This window comes from Homo sapiens, chromosome 2 (genome assembly GCF_000001405.40).
Source record: "Homo sapiens chromosome 2, GRCh38.p14 Primary Assembly".
Lineage (NCBI taxonomy): Eukaryota > Metazoa > Chordata > Mammalia > Primates > Hominidae > Homo > Homo sapiens.
In genome coordinates, this window is record NC_000002.12 from 71,630,803 (window position 1) to 71,644,675 (window position 13,873).

Here is a 13,873-nt window from a genome sequence, read left to right on the forward strand (position 1 = left end):
GCTGGTGTGGACACCTGTCAGTGTTTACTCCTTACTCCTGTTTGCCTGTTCTTCAGGCCTGATTAGTACCTTTCTTCATGGATATGCTCTTTCTCTGGATTAATACATTCTTCCTAATTATGGTTAAGTCTTAGTGTAGGAGGCATTCTTCCCTGTTGAGGTGACTTTGCCTCTCCTTGCTCTCACCGACTATGAAGTTATTTCATGGTCTAATTCTCTAAGGGCAGCCCTATTTCCCTTAATTCCAGGTTGGGGGGATGTGGGATGCCTTATTGCAGCTCATGAGTACTGACAACAATTTATTCCAAGACTTTGAAGCAAAGGTTTTCTGAGCAAAGGAATCAATTACAGGGTGTGGCTCCCAAGTGAGGAAGCATTTTCAGAAGGCATCCAAGGCAGTTTGTCTCTGAACTTCATGGTTGCACCTCTGAGCTTGAGACTTAGAGGGGGAGTATTTTAACTTTAATAACATTCATGGTTTTACCTGTACTTTTGTACATATCAGATGTGCTAATTAGGAAGTCACTTATCTTTTCCTTAAAGTAGGTTTCCTAAGGACATGTATTTGGCAATATTGGTTTAGCAAGAATTACTGTATGTGCTTGAAAGTAACTGTACTTCTTTAAAAATATCACCCGTTCAGAAGTGTTGCCAGTGAAGCCTGGCCTCCCCCCACTCCTATTAGTTCTGATTAGGGAGGTTTGATGCCCGTCACTGGTGTAATCTGGACCTTCCTTTGTGACTCATTCTTTCTCTCATTTTCTCAGAGCAAATACAAATCGCCCATCAAATGACAAGTGAAAGCACAGGGGGAGGCGAGGGGAGGGAATCAGGGCCGAAATCTGTTAGCTATTTGGAGTAATTGGTTATTTGCTGTGTTTGCTGGTTGGGAAGCAGAGCACATACTTCACGGTCTCTCCTGTTACGGGGGCTGGAGTCACCCTCCGATATTGGATCCTCGTTGCCGGAGCCCTTGGCTCGGGGCGCCTTTTCCCTGCTTGGCATTCCTGTGGTCTCCTCGGGAGTGCACCCCTCCTCCCTCGCTGCACACTGCAGGGGGGACAGCCTGGGGTGAAACTTGTCTGGCAAACTTCAGGGCTCCATCAGGGAGGAGGAGGCCCTGGCTTCCACCATCCGGCGCTCCTTGCCTCCACCTCATCCTGACATAACCCCTCCACCACCCCCTGCCCCAAGAGGTCTTTCCCCTGGTCTGAGAGGGATCTCTTTTCCCATCTAGAGAAAAAACACTCATCTCTTCCTAGAGGGATATTCTTGGCTTCCCTTGGAAATCTACAGCATAGGCAACTGTCTCTGAGGTCTAACTTGATGTCTTCCTATCTCTATTGGTCCTATGCACTGGCTACTCCCTAGCCTGGGTCAAAATAGTGCTTGGAAGTTGGTACAGCGCTAGCTGCTGAGCACAAGACTCCCCTGAGTGTGCTTGGTGAAGCTTATTAACCCACCTTTTGTCTTTAACTCTTCTCTACATTAACCAAGGCACAGGGAAATCAGAGCAAATTAGCAACAAGTTCAAAATATAAAATATTTGAAAAGTAATGTGATTTTGTATATGAAAATGCATACAGTAACTAGAAAGTAGGTTGACTTTGGCACATAGTAGGTTCCCCCCAAATCCTCTTAAAATTGAATTTAGGAGAGCTAATATTAGTGTCTGTAGCTTGATGAATGCTTCTGCAGTCTTGGGAAGGCCTTCAAAAATAGTTTTTCTCTTAAGTAGTTGTAACTCTTGTTAAGCAAAATTGTCTACATAAGCAGAAGGAAGATAAGGTATGCTGCCCAGGCCCTATTGGAATTGTCACAGATTCTGAATTAGTCATGTTTTGTTGCTTTCTTCATATGTTTGAAGAGTCTGATGGAAGCTTCTTTCATTCACCTACTGGCTAGGTTCCATTCCTCTAGGCTTTCTGCATAGTTGTGTGGGATCATGGTGCCCTCAGAGAATCCAGTCATGGGCCCCCAAGGATCTATCTTAGACTCCTGAATTGAGAAAGCACCAGCAACCTCGGGTTCCCCACAGCTCCCCGACTCTCTGTGAGTCCCCCATCTGGTGGAGCAGGCCAATAGTCAAGTGATCAGGTCCCCTTGCCATCTGTTTGACTTTACTGGATGTCAGGCCCATGTAGTCTCTGGGCCTTTGGAAGCAATTCAGCATTTTGGTTAAAGGTCTTTACTTCTTTCCCACCTCTGCTGATCCAGAAATCAGAGTAGGTGGAGTAATGATCCCCTCCACAGATGAGGAGGCTGGACTGCAGGGAGTGTCAACAAGAGGTTGAAAGCCCAGTGTTCCACTTGTAGAAATAATTAAGTGACTTTTGTTATAAGTGTGTGGAGTTCTGCTGAATCAACGTGGTGGCTGGCTGTGGGCATATGTCTTTGTGGCTTTGGGGGGCATAAGTGATTTGGTATACACAGGGTGGAGTAGTTTTGAAGTCGGAGTATTTGCATGTCTGGGGTTTTGTCTGGTCTACATGTAGGCATGAGTAATTTTATGTTATTTATGTGTTTATTCATGTGTGCATGAGTAAATAGTCCATTTCCTAAATCTCAGGACATGAAAGAATTAGAGGAACCTTTGTACCGTGATTCCAGTACTACAGATGTAGAGCTATGGGGTAGCAGTACTGGAGATCAAACTGATGACACTGGCAATATCAACAAGAACATTAATCATGGTAAACTTTACAGGTTACAGCATATCTTTGTAGATATCTACTCTGAGCCTTACAGTAACCCCAGTGTTGGGTTGTTATGTTACTATCTTGATGATGATGATTTGTACTAAGAGGGAAATTACTTTCAGCACAGTCTAGGATGTCTATCTCTGGGTTGACATAGGCATGAAGGGCTACTTAAAATTATAAACAATAATAGACCACATTTTTTTTTAAGAGTTGGGCATATAGTTCTGCATAGTGACCCAAGGTTTAACGTTATAACCTCGGTGACAAATGGATTTGACCAGAAATTTTTCTCTTTGATCCAACTGGTCATCCTGGGGAGAGAAAACAAGTTCTGTACCTGCCCCCTGTCTCCTGCTTCCTGACTTCACAGAAAGGAATTATTATTGCCAGTTTTTCCACCCGTATTCATGAAATGTGTTAGGTCTACTGAATGATGATGGGAGATTAAATATTTGGAACGTATCATACTGATTTGGGTCTTCAGGGGGATTAAGGTGCTCATTAGACTGGATCAAGCCTGGAGAAATAGATCTCCGCTATTTTCTCTGGCTGCCCAGGAACTGCATATTGGCTATTAGCTGAAACTGGAGAGGCTTCCAGTCCATGCCTTGGTCGGACTTACTGGGTTGGCTGACTGCACAATGAGGGGCCTTGAACCTTGAGCATGGGGGAGTGGTGTTTTAATGGCCAGACTTCTTGTTAAAGCCTAAGGTGACACTTCAAATATCAAACCTTTTGTGTTTCTTTTTCCTCCTTGCCATGTTCCAAAACTGGATGCTTAGCTATTGCAAAATGAGGTAAAAAACACATTTGGAATGAGAAAACATACCACCATTTCCCTTTTGGAGCTTTGGAATATGGGATTCCATTAACATCAGAGGGTTAGTTGGCTTTGGCACCTCTGAGTTCAGACATGGAATAGCTGTCCTGTTTTTTGTGGGGCTCTTTCTTATGGCTGTGCTAACTTATTCCTGGACTTCCCGGGGAAGAGAAGGGAGAAGTGGGCTTGAAATAACTCCATCAGAAGCCAGATGAGTGAAATAGCAGAAATGACATTTTCAAGTCACATCTGTGAGTGTGTTAAAAATATAACTTTATTTTTCTGTAAATCAACTTAATCTCTCCTGTGAGCCCACATTTTTCCTGATGGCAGAAAAACCCCGGTAATCATCAACATTTTAGGTTTAAACTTAGGCAGTCTGGGCTTTCTATCTTCCTCCTTAACCCTGGGAGGCAGCTCAGTTCTGGGTTGGGCTTCCATAATGTCATGACCTCCACAGGGAGGAAGTCCTGGTCACCAGTATGTGTCTACTCTGACATTTAGAGACCCACTGATTTCTGGGCACACAGGCCATACTGCATCTTCTCATTTCAGCCCCCAAATCCTTCTAGTTTTCCTGGCTCTTTCTCTCTCCACTAACTTTCAAGCCCTACAGGGAGTGGGGCACCATTAAGCAGCTCTCCCATGACACTCTGGGGTCTGTGGGAAATTCCAAGGGCTTAGGCTCTGTCTCCCATGACACCCATGCAGCCATCTCCAATCAACTGCCCCACAGCCAATTCCTCTGGCAACTTCCGGGTGGCTGCTGCTGCCTGGACCCCCAAAGTTATAGAGGGGTCTGTTCCGTGTACACTTTGGAGCTGACCTGGAGGCAGGGTGTGCGGTGCCTTATCAGAAACCATCACAAGTCTCTAGTTCTCGCTTCCTTTCTCCTTCTACACTTTCATTTCTTTCGCCTATGATGGGGAAAAACTGGCTGGACAAAACATTCTTTTAAACCTATTATTTTAATGGCACATGATCAGCCTTTGTAAACTTAAAAGCCAAGGATCACCCCCTCTTTCCCCACATTCTGCTGTTTAGGCATTCCTGTATCCATCAAATATTGACAGAACTGCAATTATGTCTTTCAGGCAATGTTCTAAGCATTGAGGTTATGAGTGTTACAAAAGATAAAGGGGGCTGGGTGCGGTGGCTCACGCCTGCAATCCCAGCACTTTGGGAGGCAGAGGCGGGTGGATCATGTGAGGCCAGGAGTTTGAAACCAGCCTGGCCAACATGGTGAAACCCCATCTCTACTAAAAATAACAAAAATTAGCTGGGCGTGGTGGCACACACCTGTAATCCCAGCTACTTGGGAGGCTGAGGCAGGAGAATTGCTTGAACCTGGGAGGCAGAGCTTGCAGTGAGCCGAGATAGTGCCACTGCACTCCAGCCTGGGCGACAGAGCAAGACTCTGTCTCAAAAAAAAAAAAAAAAAGAAAGAAAAAAGAAAAAGAAAAAAGATGAAGGGCTCTGCCTTCATGGAGAAGGAGATACAATAAACAATATTAATACCCACGTAAAATCTATGGGATATCAGATGGAGATAATCACTGTGGAGAAAAAGCAACAAAGAGGGAATAGGAATTCTTGAGACGGGATTGTGATTTACAATATGGGAAATAATGAGGGTGAGACTGAGGCTGCACTGGAATCAAGACAAGAAGGAAATGAGGAAGTGGCTTAGGGATCTATCAGGGGGAATAGTGTTCCTGCCAGGGGAAGGACATGAGGGTGCTGGAAGTGTTCAGGACCAGGAAGGCTTGTTGGCTGCAGCAGCATGAGTGAGGAAGAAAGTTGAAGGACGTGAGGTCAGGGAGGTGTGAGGGCTCGATCACAAGCGACTTTAGAAGTTATTACAAGGGCTTTAGTTTTATTCTGAGTGAGCTGACAAATCACTGGAGGGATTTGCACAGAGGGTGACAAGATCCGATGTACATGGCTGTTGGGTTGAGCACGGATTCAGGGAGCAGGACGGCAAAGGTGAAGGTGGGGAGGCCAGTTAGGAAACTGCTGCAGTCATCCCACATGGGATGATGGGGCTGGACTGGGGCGGTAGTGACAGAGTGGTCTGGTTCTGAGTATACACTGGAGGTAGTGCCAGCATGAGTGACTGATGGATTAAGTGCAGGTCGTGAGGAACAGGAGTCAAAGGTGAGTGCAGGGATTTTGGCTTGAGCATCTGGAAGGAGAGAGTTGCCATTTGTTCATATGAGGAAGGATGTGGGAGGAGCAGACTGGGCAGGGATGTTCAGAGATAGGAATCTGGACTTAGCTTTGCAAAGCCTATCAGATGTCCAGTGGGAGATGTCACATGGGCAGCTGGAGTCCAGGGAAGGCACCCAGGCTGGACAGAGCTCAAGGTGGGACTCATCAATGTATGTGCTATTTAAAGAGCTAAGACCCAGGGAGAACCCAAGGGAGTGAGAGTGGATAGAGAGGATGGGCTCAAGCACTGAGCCCTGAGGCACTCAGATGGCCAAAGCATGGGTGACAAGAAGGAGGCAGCAAAGAAGACTGAGCAGGTGTGGCCGCTGAGGTGGGAGGACAGCACTGTGGTGCTCTGGACAGTGGAGCTCTGCAAGGCGAGGGGAGATGCTTCAGGGACAGAGGAGTGACCACTTCTGCCAAATACTGCTCCTGGATTGATTATTGAGGCCTGAGTCATTGGTGACCTTGACAAGAATGTTTTGAGGGAGGACAGAGAATGGAAACATAAAAATTAGAGACAATAAGTGTGGACAACTCTTTCTAGAAGTTTTTCTATAAAGGGGCGAAGGTAATGAGGTGGAAGCCCAAAGGGAACGTGTGGGCAGAGAGAGAGACGTATTCTGTGAATAGTGGGGCACTGGTGCCTATGTGTGAAGGCTAACTGGAATGACCCAGAGGGGAGGGATGTTGGTGACACAGGAGAGGGTGAGGAGAGTCACGGAGTGATGGCCTTGAATGGACCAGAGAGGATGAGCCCCAGGCATGAGGGCAGAGGTTGGCCTTGGGCTGGGGTGCAAGCCGAGCACCCACAGGAGCAGAAGGGAAGGTAGCACGTGGCATGGGTGCTGGTGGGGGCTTGGGGAAGTCTCTTCTGGTTGCTTCTGCTTTTAGGAGAAAGGAAGCAGGGACATGGGCTGAGCATGAGGCCAGGGAGGAGGTGCTAGAGGGCTGGGGAGAGGGCCAGTGTGGCAGGTGGTATCAGGAGAAGGGGCGAGTAAAGGGCCAGGGAAGTGAGATGAGGTGCCGGGCGGCACTGGGGCTCCTTGAAGCTGTGCCAGGAACTTGGTGTGAGACCCAGCAGCTGGTTTCATGGTTTCCTTCAGCCACATTTGGTTGTGGGGGGCTGATGTGAAGTGGAGAAGAGCTGGATTTAACCCCAGGTGGCACTGGCCAGAAGTACAATGGAACAAGAGAGGTGGAAGGAGTTTAGGAGAAGGAAAGGGCAAGGGGGTAAACAAAGCATTGTAGGACCAAGAAAATATTAGTTAATATGTAAATCATGATTCTGCCACATGCCTAATTGCTGTTAAAGGTGCAGGCCATTGATTAGAAGAGGGTTTACCTGTGGGATGCAGGACGAAAATGGGGGCAAAAGTCACTGAGCAGCCGGCCAGCTGGTGTGGCCGGGAGGAAGGTCATAGGCCATTCGTCTCAGCAGCTGTGAGTCTGCTGGGGAACAGCAGCTGCCAGACATCACCTGGAACTTTGAAGGAAGAGGGAATTGCAGCCAAGAGGGGAACTTGGGGAAAACAGTGTGGTAAGATTTAGGTCCTGTTGGTGGTAAATAGCTTGTTCTATTAAAAAAAAAAAATTGAACTCTTATTTCCTTAGAAAGAAACACTTGAGATTCCTGCTTTTATTCTTTTGTTTGATGTTATATGGTTGTATTTGATCATTTGTTCTTTTTAATTTTAGCAACTTTATTGAGATAATCCATGTGAATACAGGTTCTTATTTAAAGTGTACAGTTTAATGGTTTGTAGTATATTAACAGAGTTGTGCAACCATGACCGGAATCCATTTTAGAATATCCTCATCACTGCAAAAAAAAAAAAAAAAAGTACTGAAGAGCATTTATTCCTCACAATAACTGTCAAATTTATGCTATTATTTTTCCATGACAGATTAGATAAATGGAGTCCTAAAGAGGTTAAGTAGTGAGCAGTCTCTCCCAACCACTCCCAGCCCCTGGCAACCACTAAATATTTTTTGTTTCTATATATTTGCCTATTCTGGAGCTTCATATAAATGAAATCCTACAATATGTGGTCTTTTGTGATTAAATTCTTTCACTTAGCATAAGGTTTTCTAGGTTCATCTATGTCATAACATGTATCAGTTCTTCATTCCCTTTTTATTACCAAATAATGTGCCAGTGTAAGGATATATCACATTTTCTTTATCCACGCATCAGTTGATTCATATCTGAGTCTTTCCACCCTTTAGCTGTTATGAATAATGCTGCTTTGAACATTCATGTACAAGTTTTTGTGTAGACATAAGTTTTCATTTCTCTTGGATATATACCTAGGAATGGAATTGCTAGGCCATATGGCAACTCTAACGTTTAATGTTTTGAGGAACTGCCAAACTGTTTTTCAAAGTGCTGCAACATTTTACATCCTCACCAGCAGTGTACAAGGGTTCCAATTTCTCTATGTCTTCACCAACACTTATTATCTGACTTTATGATGATAGCCATTCTAGCAGGTGTGAAGTGGTTTCTCATTGAGGTATTGATTTGCATTTCTGTGATGTCTAATGATGTGGAGCATCTTTCCATGTGCTATTGGCCATTTGTATATCTTCTCTGGGGAATGTCAACTTAAATACACTGCCCATTTTTAAATTGGATGATTTGTCTTTTTATCATTGAGTTGTGAGTTCTCTATATATTCTGGATACAAATCCCTTATCAAATATATGATTTGCAAATATTTTCTCCCATTCTGTGAGTTGTCTTTTCACTTTATTGGTAGTGTATTTTGAAGCATCTTGCTGTTGTTCTTTATTTAAAAATTTTTAATTTTTAAAGCTATGCAAGGAATACTTGCATACAATGAAAAATTAGAAATTTTTGAGTTATACACAAAAAGGAATAAAACATGTACAATTTTACCATTCAGAGTGCCACTATGAACTTCTGGGGTTTAGTCCTTTTGTTAAAATGAGATCACATTATTTTTTAACCCTTTATAAATCTCATCAGTTGTGAGTAACTTTTCATGTCAGTAAATATATTTTTCCAGCATCACTTTTTAGGTTGTGTAATGTTTAATCATATGGAGGTACCGTTCAGTTCCAAGCAGTTCAGGTCCAAACAGTTCCTTATTGTTGGACACTTAAGTTGCTTCCAATTTTTCACTTTTAAATGAAGTAAAATCTTTATGCATATCCATGATTGCTTTCTTTGGATAGAATTCTGGAATAAGATTGCTGTGTCAAAGTGCATGTTCTTTTAGGCTATGGAAACGTGCAGCCAGTTTGCCTTCTGGAATGATTGTGGCCATCCGTGCCCCACCAGCAGTTTGTAGGAGATTAGCTCTTGGCCAAGAAGCTAACCAGGTCTATGCAACAACAGCAATATTACTATTATCAGTAAGAGCAATAAACACTTACGTTGCATTTATGTGTAGGCACAGTTCTGAGCACTCTCTCTATATTGACTCATTGATTCCTCACAATAACTGTCAAACTGATACTATTATTTTTCCATTACAGATAATTGAGTCCAAGAGAGGTTAAGTAGTGACCCAATGTCACACCACTGAGCGTGGCAGGATTTGAACACTGGCAGTCTAGCTTCTGGGTCCTGGCTCTCACCCACCCTGCTTTACTGCTTCTTTATGTCTATATCACATGAAAATTATTGGCAGAGGCACCTATATGTGCAAGAGCCCAGAAGGGAGAAAGCCTGATACTGTCAAACACAATGCTGACTATTGCTTTAAAATATTCTTTATAATGCTAAGAAAGCTTCCTTTTATTTTTAATTTACTGAGAGGTTCATTTGAGAATAAATGAAAAATTCTAACCTCTTAAACATCCATTTTTTGTTTTTGTTTTGCATATTATAAACTAGGGGCTGGCAAATTTTTTTTAAAGGGTCAGATAGTAAGTATTTTAGGCTTGGGGGACATAAGGTCTTTGTTGCAAAGACTCAACTCTGCAATTGTAGCTGAAACCTGCTACAAAATATATTGATATTTAAATTACCAAACTAGGTGGCTGGCCAGTAGGCCATAGTTTTCAAATCTCTGCTGTAGATGATCCTGTGGGTTTCCTCTCCTGACTCACTGATGCTGAACCACTCTTGTATTCTGGAATAACCCAGCTTGACCACGCCAGATTGACTGCTGCCATCTGTTCGTTAGTGTTTTATTTAGGATCTTTATGTCTCTCTTCAGGAATGAGATTAATCCGTGTGTGTGTGTGTGTGTGTGTGTGTGTGTTGCTTCGTCAAGTTTTGCTTCATAAAACGAATGTAAAAACTTTCATCTTTTTCTATGCTGTGGAACAAAGAATGATTTATTCTTTGCAACACTCATAGAATTTTCCCCCAAAGAAATGATCTTGGCCTCCTGTCTTTTTTTGGAAGTAGATCATTGAGATCTTTTCCACTTTCTTTTAAGGTTATTGATCTCTTCATGTTTTCTACTACTTTTGAATCAATTTTGGCAATTTTTATTTTCCTAGAAAATCATTCACTTCATCTACATTTTCTAAGATTCTGTCATTGGTTTCAGCCTCATAAACCTATTGATATTTTCATTGTCTGCTATAATATCTTTTGATTTGATTTTTCTCATTCCTAATAGTATATCTACTTTTAAAAATTAGATTTGATAAATGTTTATCTATTTTTTTTTTTTTTTTTTGAGACGGAGTCTCGCTCTGTGGCCCAGGTGGGAGTGCAGTGGCGCAATCTCGGCTCACTGCAAGCTCCGCCTCCCAGGTTCACGCCATTCTCCTGCCTCAGCCTCCCGAGTAGCTGGGACTACAGGCGCCCGCCACCACGCCCGGCTAATTTTTTTGTATTTTTAGTAGAGACGGGGTTTCACCGTGTTAGCCAGGATGGTCTCGATCTCCTGACCTCGTGATCCACCCGCCTCGGCCTCCCAAAGTGCTGGGATAAATGTTTATCTATTTTAATGGTCTTTTGAAATCTTGCTCTGGGGTTTAATCATCAATTATAATATTCTCCTTTCTAATATATTCATTTCTATTTACAATTTTCTTTGGTCTTTCTGCCCTTTCTAATTTCTTGAATTATCAGGTAATTTATTTTCATTCCTTTTGTATAAAAGTGAAAACACTTAAGATAAAATTTTTTTTTTGAAGACAGGCTTAGCTACAACTCGTACGTTTTGGGACATATATCTCCTATTGTTGGTATTTCCTAAGTATCCGAGGTTTTAGTTTTGGTTTTCTCTTTGACCCAGGAGGGCTTTAAGCATATGCCTTTAAATTTCCAAAAGGTTAGTATTTTATTTAAAATTTCTCATTTTTCTAGTTTTATTGCAGTATGGTCAGAAAATGTGACTGATAGTGGTTTTATTTCTGGGACTTTACTGAGATTTGCTCTGTGGCTTTTTTATTTTTTTCTAAGTGCTCCAAAGATGCTGGAAAAGAAGGTATATCTTCTGTTTTTAGTGTAAATAATGTTTGTCTATTTAGTTGTCACTGTTAATGGTATTATTCAGACTATCTGTCTCTAATTCCTTTGGAAATTTACTTGGTTATTCAGGATTGAGGGAAGTGTGATACCTTCCCCACAATTCTTGTTCCTGTCTTTTCTTTGTACAGAACTCACTGGTTGGTTGTCTGTCTGTGCCTGACTCTGAGCCTGAGTTATAAACTCAAACCTTTAAGTATTTGGGCTGGGAAAGAAAAATAAAGATTTAGGGGAACTCAACAGCTAAATTGGATTCCATTCTAACCATTTCTACCTAAGTGTCCATGTTTGCCTGTGTGCCAGTATGTGCAGTTGTGTGTTTCTGTGGGGGCATATGTGTGTTTTAGCATACACATCTCCTTTGGACGTGACTGTGTAAGTCAGTTCTTCTGCGTGTGGGTCATCCTGTGAGTTTGATATGTATGTCTGTATATGTGTGTCACCCATAGCATCTTTTTCTTTAAATTGAACTTTAAACATCAAGGCTTGGGTCTGCCTTGCTCTAAGCTGGCTTTTTCTAGAGTGGTTACAAGTCAGAAAGCTCTGCCATGCTGTACGCTACCCCACCTGACCTTGTTTCCTCTCTCCTGGCTGCAGAAGACCCTCCGGGTAAGTGGGTCTGGTAGGGCCTGGCTGCAGATTCAGCCTCACTCTGGTACACGTTCCCTGTGTGGTGTGTCTGGAGACACCTGGCCACACAAGGTGTGTTAGGACCACACTTCCAGGACGGGTGGAGACTCGAGAACCTCATCCTACCGTCTCCCCAGGATGCCTGTTCAGGAACCCTTGGCGGGGCACCAGCTTGTGTTTGCCTTTAGTAAGCTGGAGCTCAGAGCACTTGGCTTTAGTTTGAAGGGGCCACCAGCATTTTCAGAAACTCTGTGATAGGTGTTCAGTTCCTGGTGGAGAATTAGAGCAGGCTCCTGGGAGATCTTCTAGCCTACCTTCTCATACAGAGGAGGAAAGCGAGTTCCAGAATGAGCTCCTGAAGCCGTGTCCTTGGCCCTTCCCACTAAACCAGATAAGCTCTAATGGTACAGATGGGCTCAGAGTGAGTGATGGGACCTTGGTGGGCTTTTGGGGTGAACTGACCATCCCAGCTTCAGGGAGCTTGGTGACCCTCTAGGTGATAGGACACCCCACCTGCCGAGACAGGACACAGCTGAAGGAATATTCTAGACACCAGAGCTAAGAGGGCCTGCAGACACACCATGTACAGGAGGAGTTAAATGGTGGGGAGGTCAGGATTTGCCACAACAGGCCTGTCCATCTTTTCCTGCAAATAGGAGTGACTGGAGGAAGGATGCGGATGTCACACAGAAAATTTGTGCTGTCACATACTTCCTTTCTTCTCACCTAATACCTCACATTTAGCAGTGTCTTTGGAATAAAGGCACTTAGTATTAGTTGATTTTCAGGGACTCTGCCTTGATTTGACCTTGGGGAGGTTAAGTGCTGATTTCCAATGCTTCCTTTATTGCCTGGGTAGGGAGGCAGATGGGCAGAATAGATAAAACTCTTTTGGGTCTGAATTTTCCTGGATCTACTGCATTTTGTTCATAAATAATACATTATTGACATTTTCCCCTAAGAGCTACCCTATGTACCCTCTGATTTTGGTCTCAGTGTGTTGTGTCCCTGGGATGCAGGAACTACAAAGATGCTTATGCCCACTTCACAGAAAGGAAAAGGGAGGCTGGGGAGTTTGACAGAAACACACATGCTTGGGGGGCAGAGCCAGGGCTAGAGCCTCCGCCTCTCAACACCAACCAAATGCTGAAACCTCTTCCTCAGTCTGCAGTCTTTGCCCCAGGAGAGGCGGAGGTTTCCTCTCTCTGCTCCCCCACATCACCCTTAGGAAAGCCTTGTGGTCCAGAGCGGCCTAGCAGCGGAGGGAGGGTTTCCAACTCTGAAGAATGCTGCTTGGCGAGTCCTGTTTCTGAAATGGTCTCTTTCTTTCTACCCACTCAGGAGGAAGAGTTCATCGATTGGTGGAGCAAATTCTTTGCCTCCATAGGGGAGAGGGAAAAGTGCGGCTCCTACCTGGAGAAGGATTTTGACACCCTGAAGGTAAGGCCTCTCTTCAGTCTGACAGTCGGTGTGTGTGTGCGTACTGGGCAGTGGGAGACACAACAGAAAGAGAGCTCATGCAGTAGATGTATTTGCATTTGTCTCCTCATTCGGTGTCTGAGGGTGATGAATGCTGCTAGACCAGCTGGGTGAGAAAGCCACCCACCGATTTACAGCCCGAAGCAAGTGTGGGCTGGGATAACCAAGACAGTATTCCCAGGAGAATGCTGAAGAATATGGAAGTGTTTAGAGGTGAAATGATCTGTGTTAACGTGCCCCAGCCCCCTACCCCTTCCCAAGATCAGGGTGGCCCCCTCACCGATTTTCAAAATAGTCAACATTATTAATATTGCATGACATTGAAAACAGTTAAAGCTTGGAGATGGGTACGCAGGGATTTGTTGTCCTATCCCATGTCTTTCAGTGTTATTTGAACTTTTCTATAGTAGAAAATTTGTGTTAAAATAAAAAGAGAGTCGGTTTGAGAATGTACTCCTGACCCCTAACTCCTACAATTGGGCCAGAAAATTACCTACAAATCTGAAAATATGGGAAACCCTGTTTCTGTGGAAAAAAACAGAAATGAGTCAGCCAAATTGTGGTATTTTGAGG

General features: G+C 43.7%; 1 protein-coding gene across 14 annotated transcripts in view; it reads left to right on the plus strand.

Annotated features, from left to right (window-relative positions):
• DYSF (dysferlin) overlaps positions 1-13,873 on the plus strand; it is a 233,203-nt gene that overhangs the window by 177,242 nt on the left and 42,088 nt on the right. For all 14 annotated transcript variants that reach the window (NM_001130979.2, NM_001130981.2, NM_001130980.2 and 11 more), the window contains one exon: positions 13,163-13,261. In NM_001130979.2, coding sequence (NP_001124451.1) covers positions 13,163-13,261 — 99 coding nt within the window. The remainder of the gene's footprint in view (positions 1-13,162; positions 13,262-13,873) is intronic.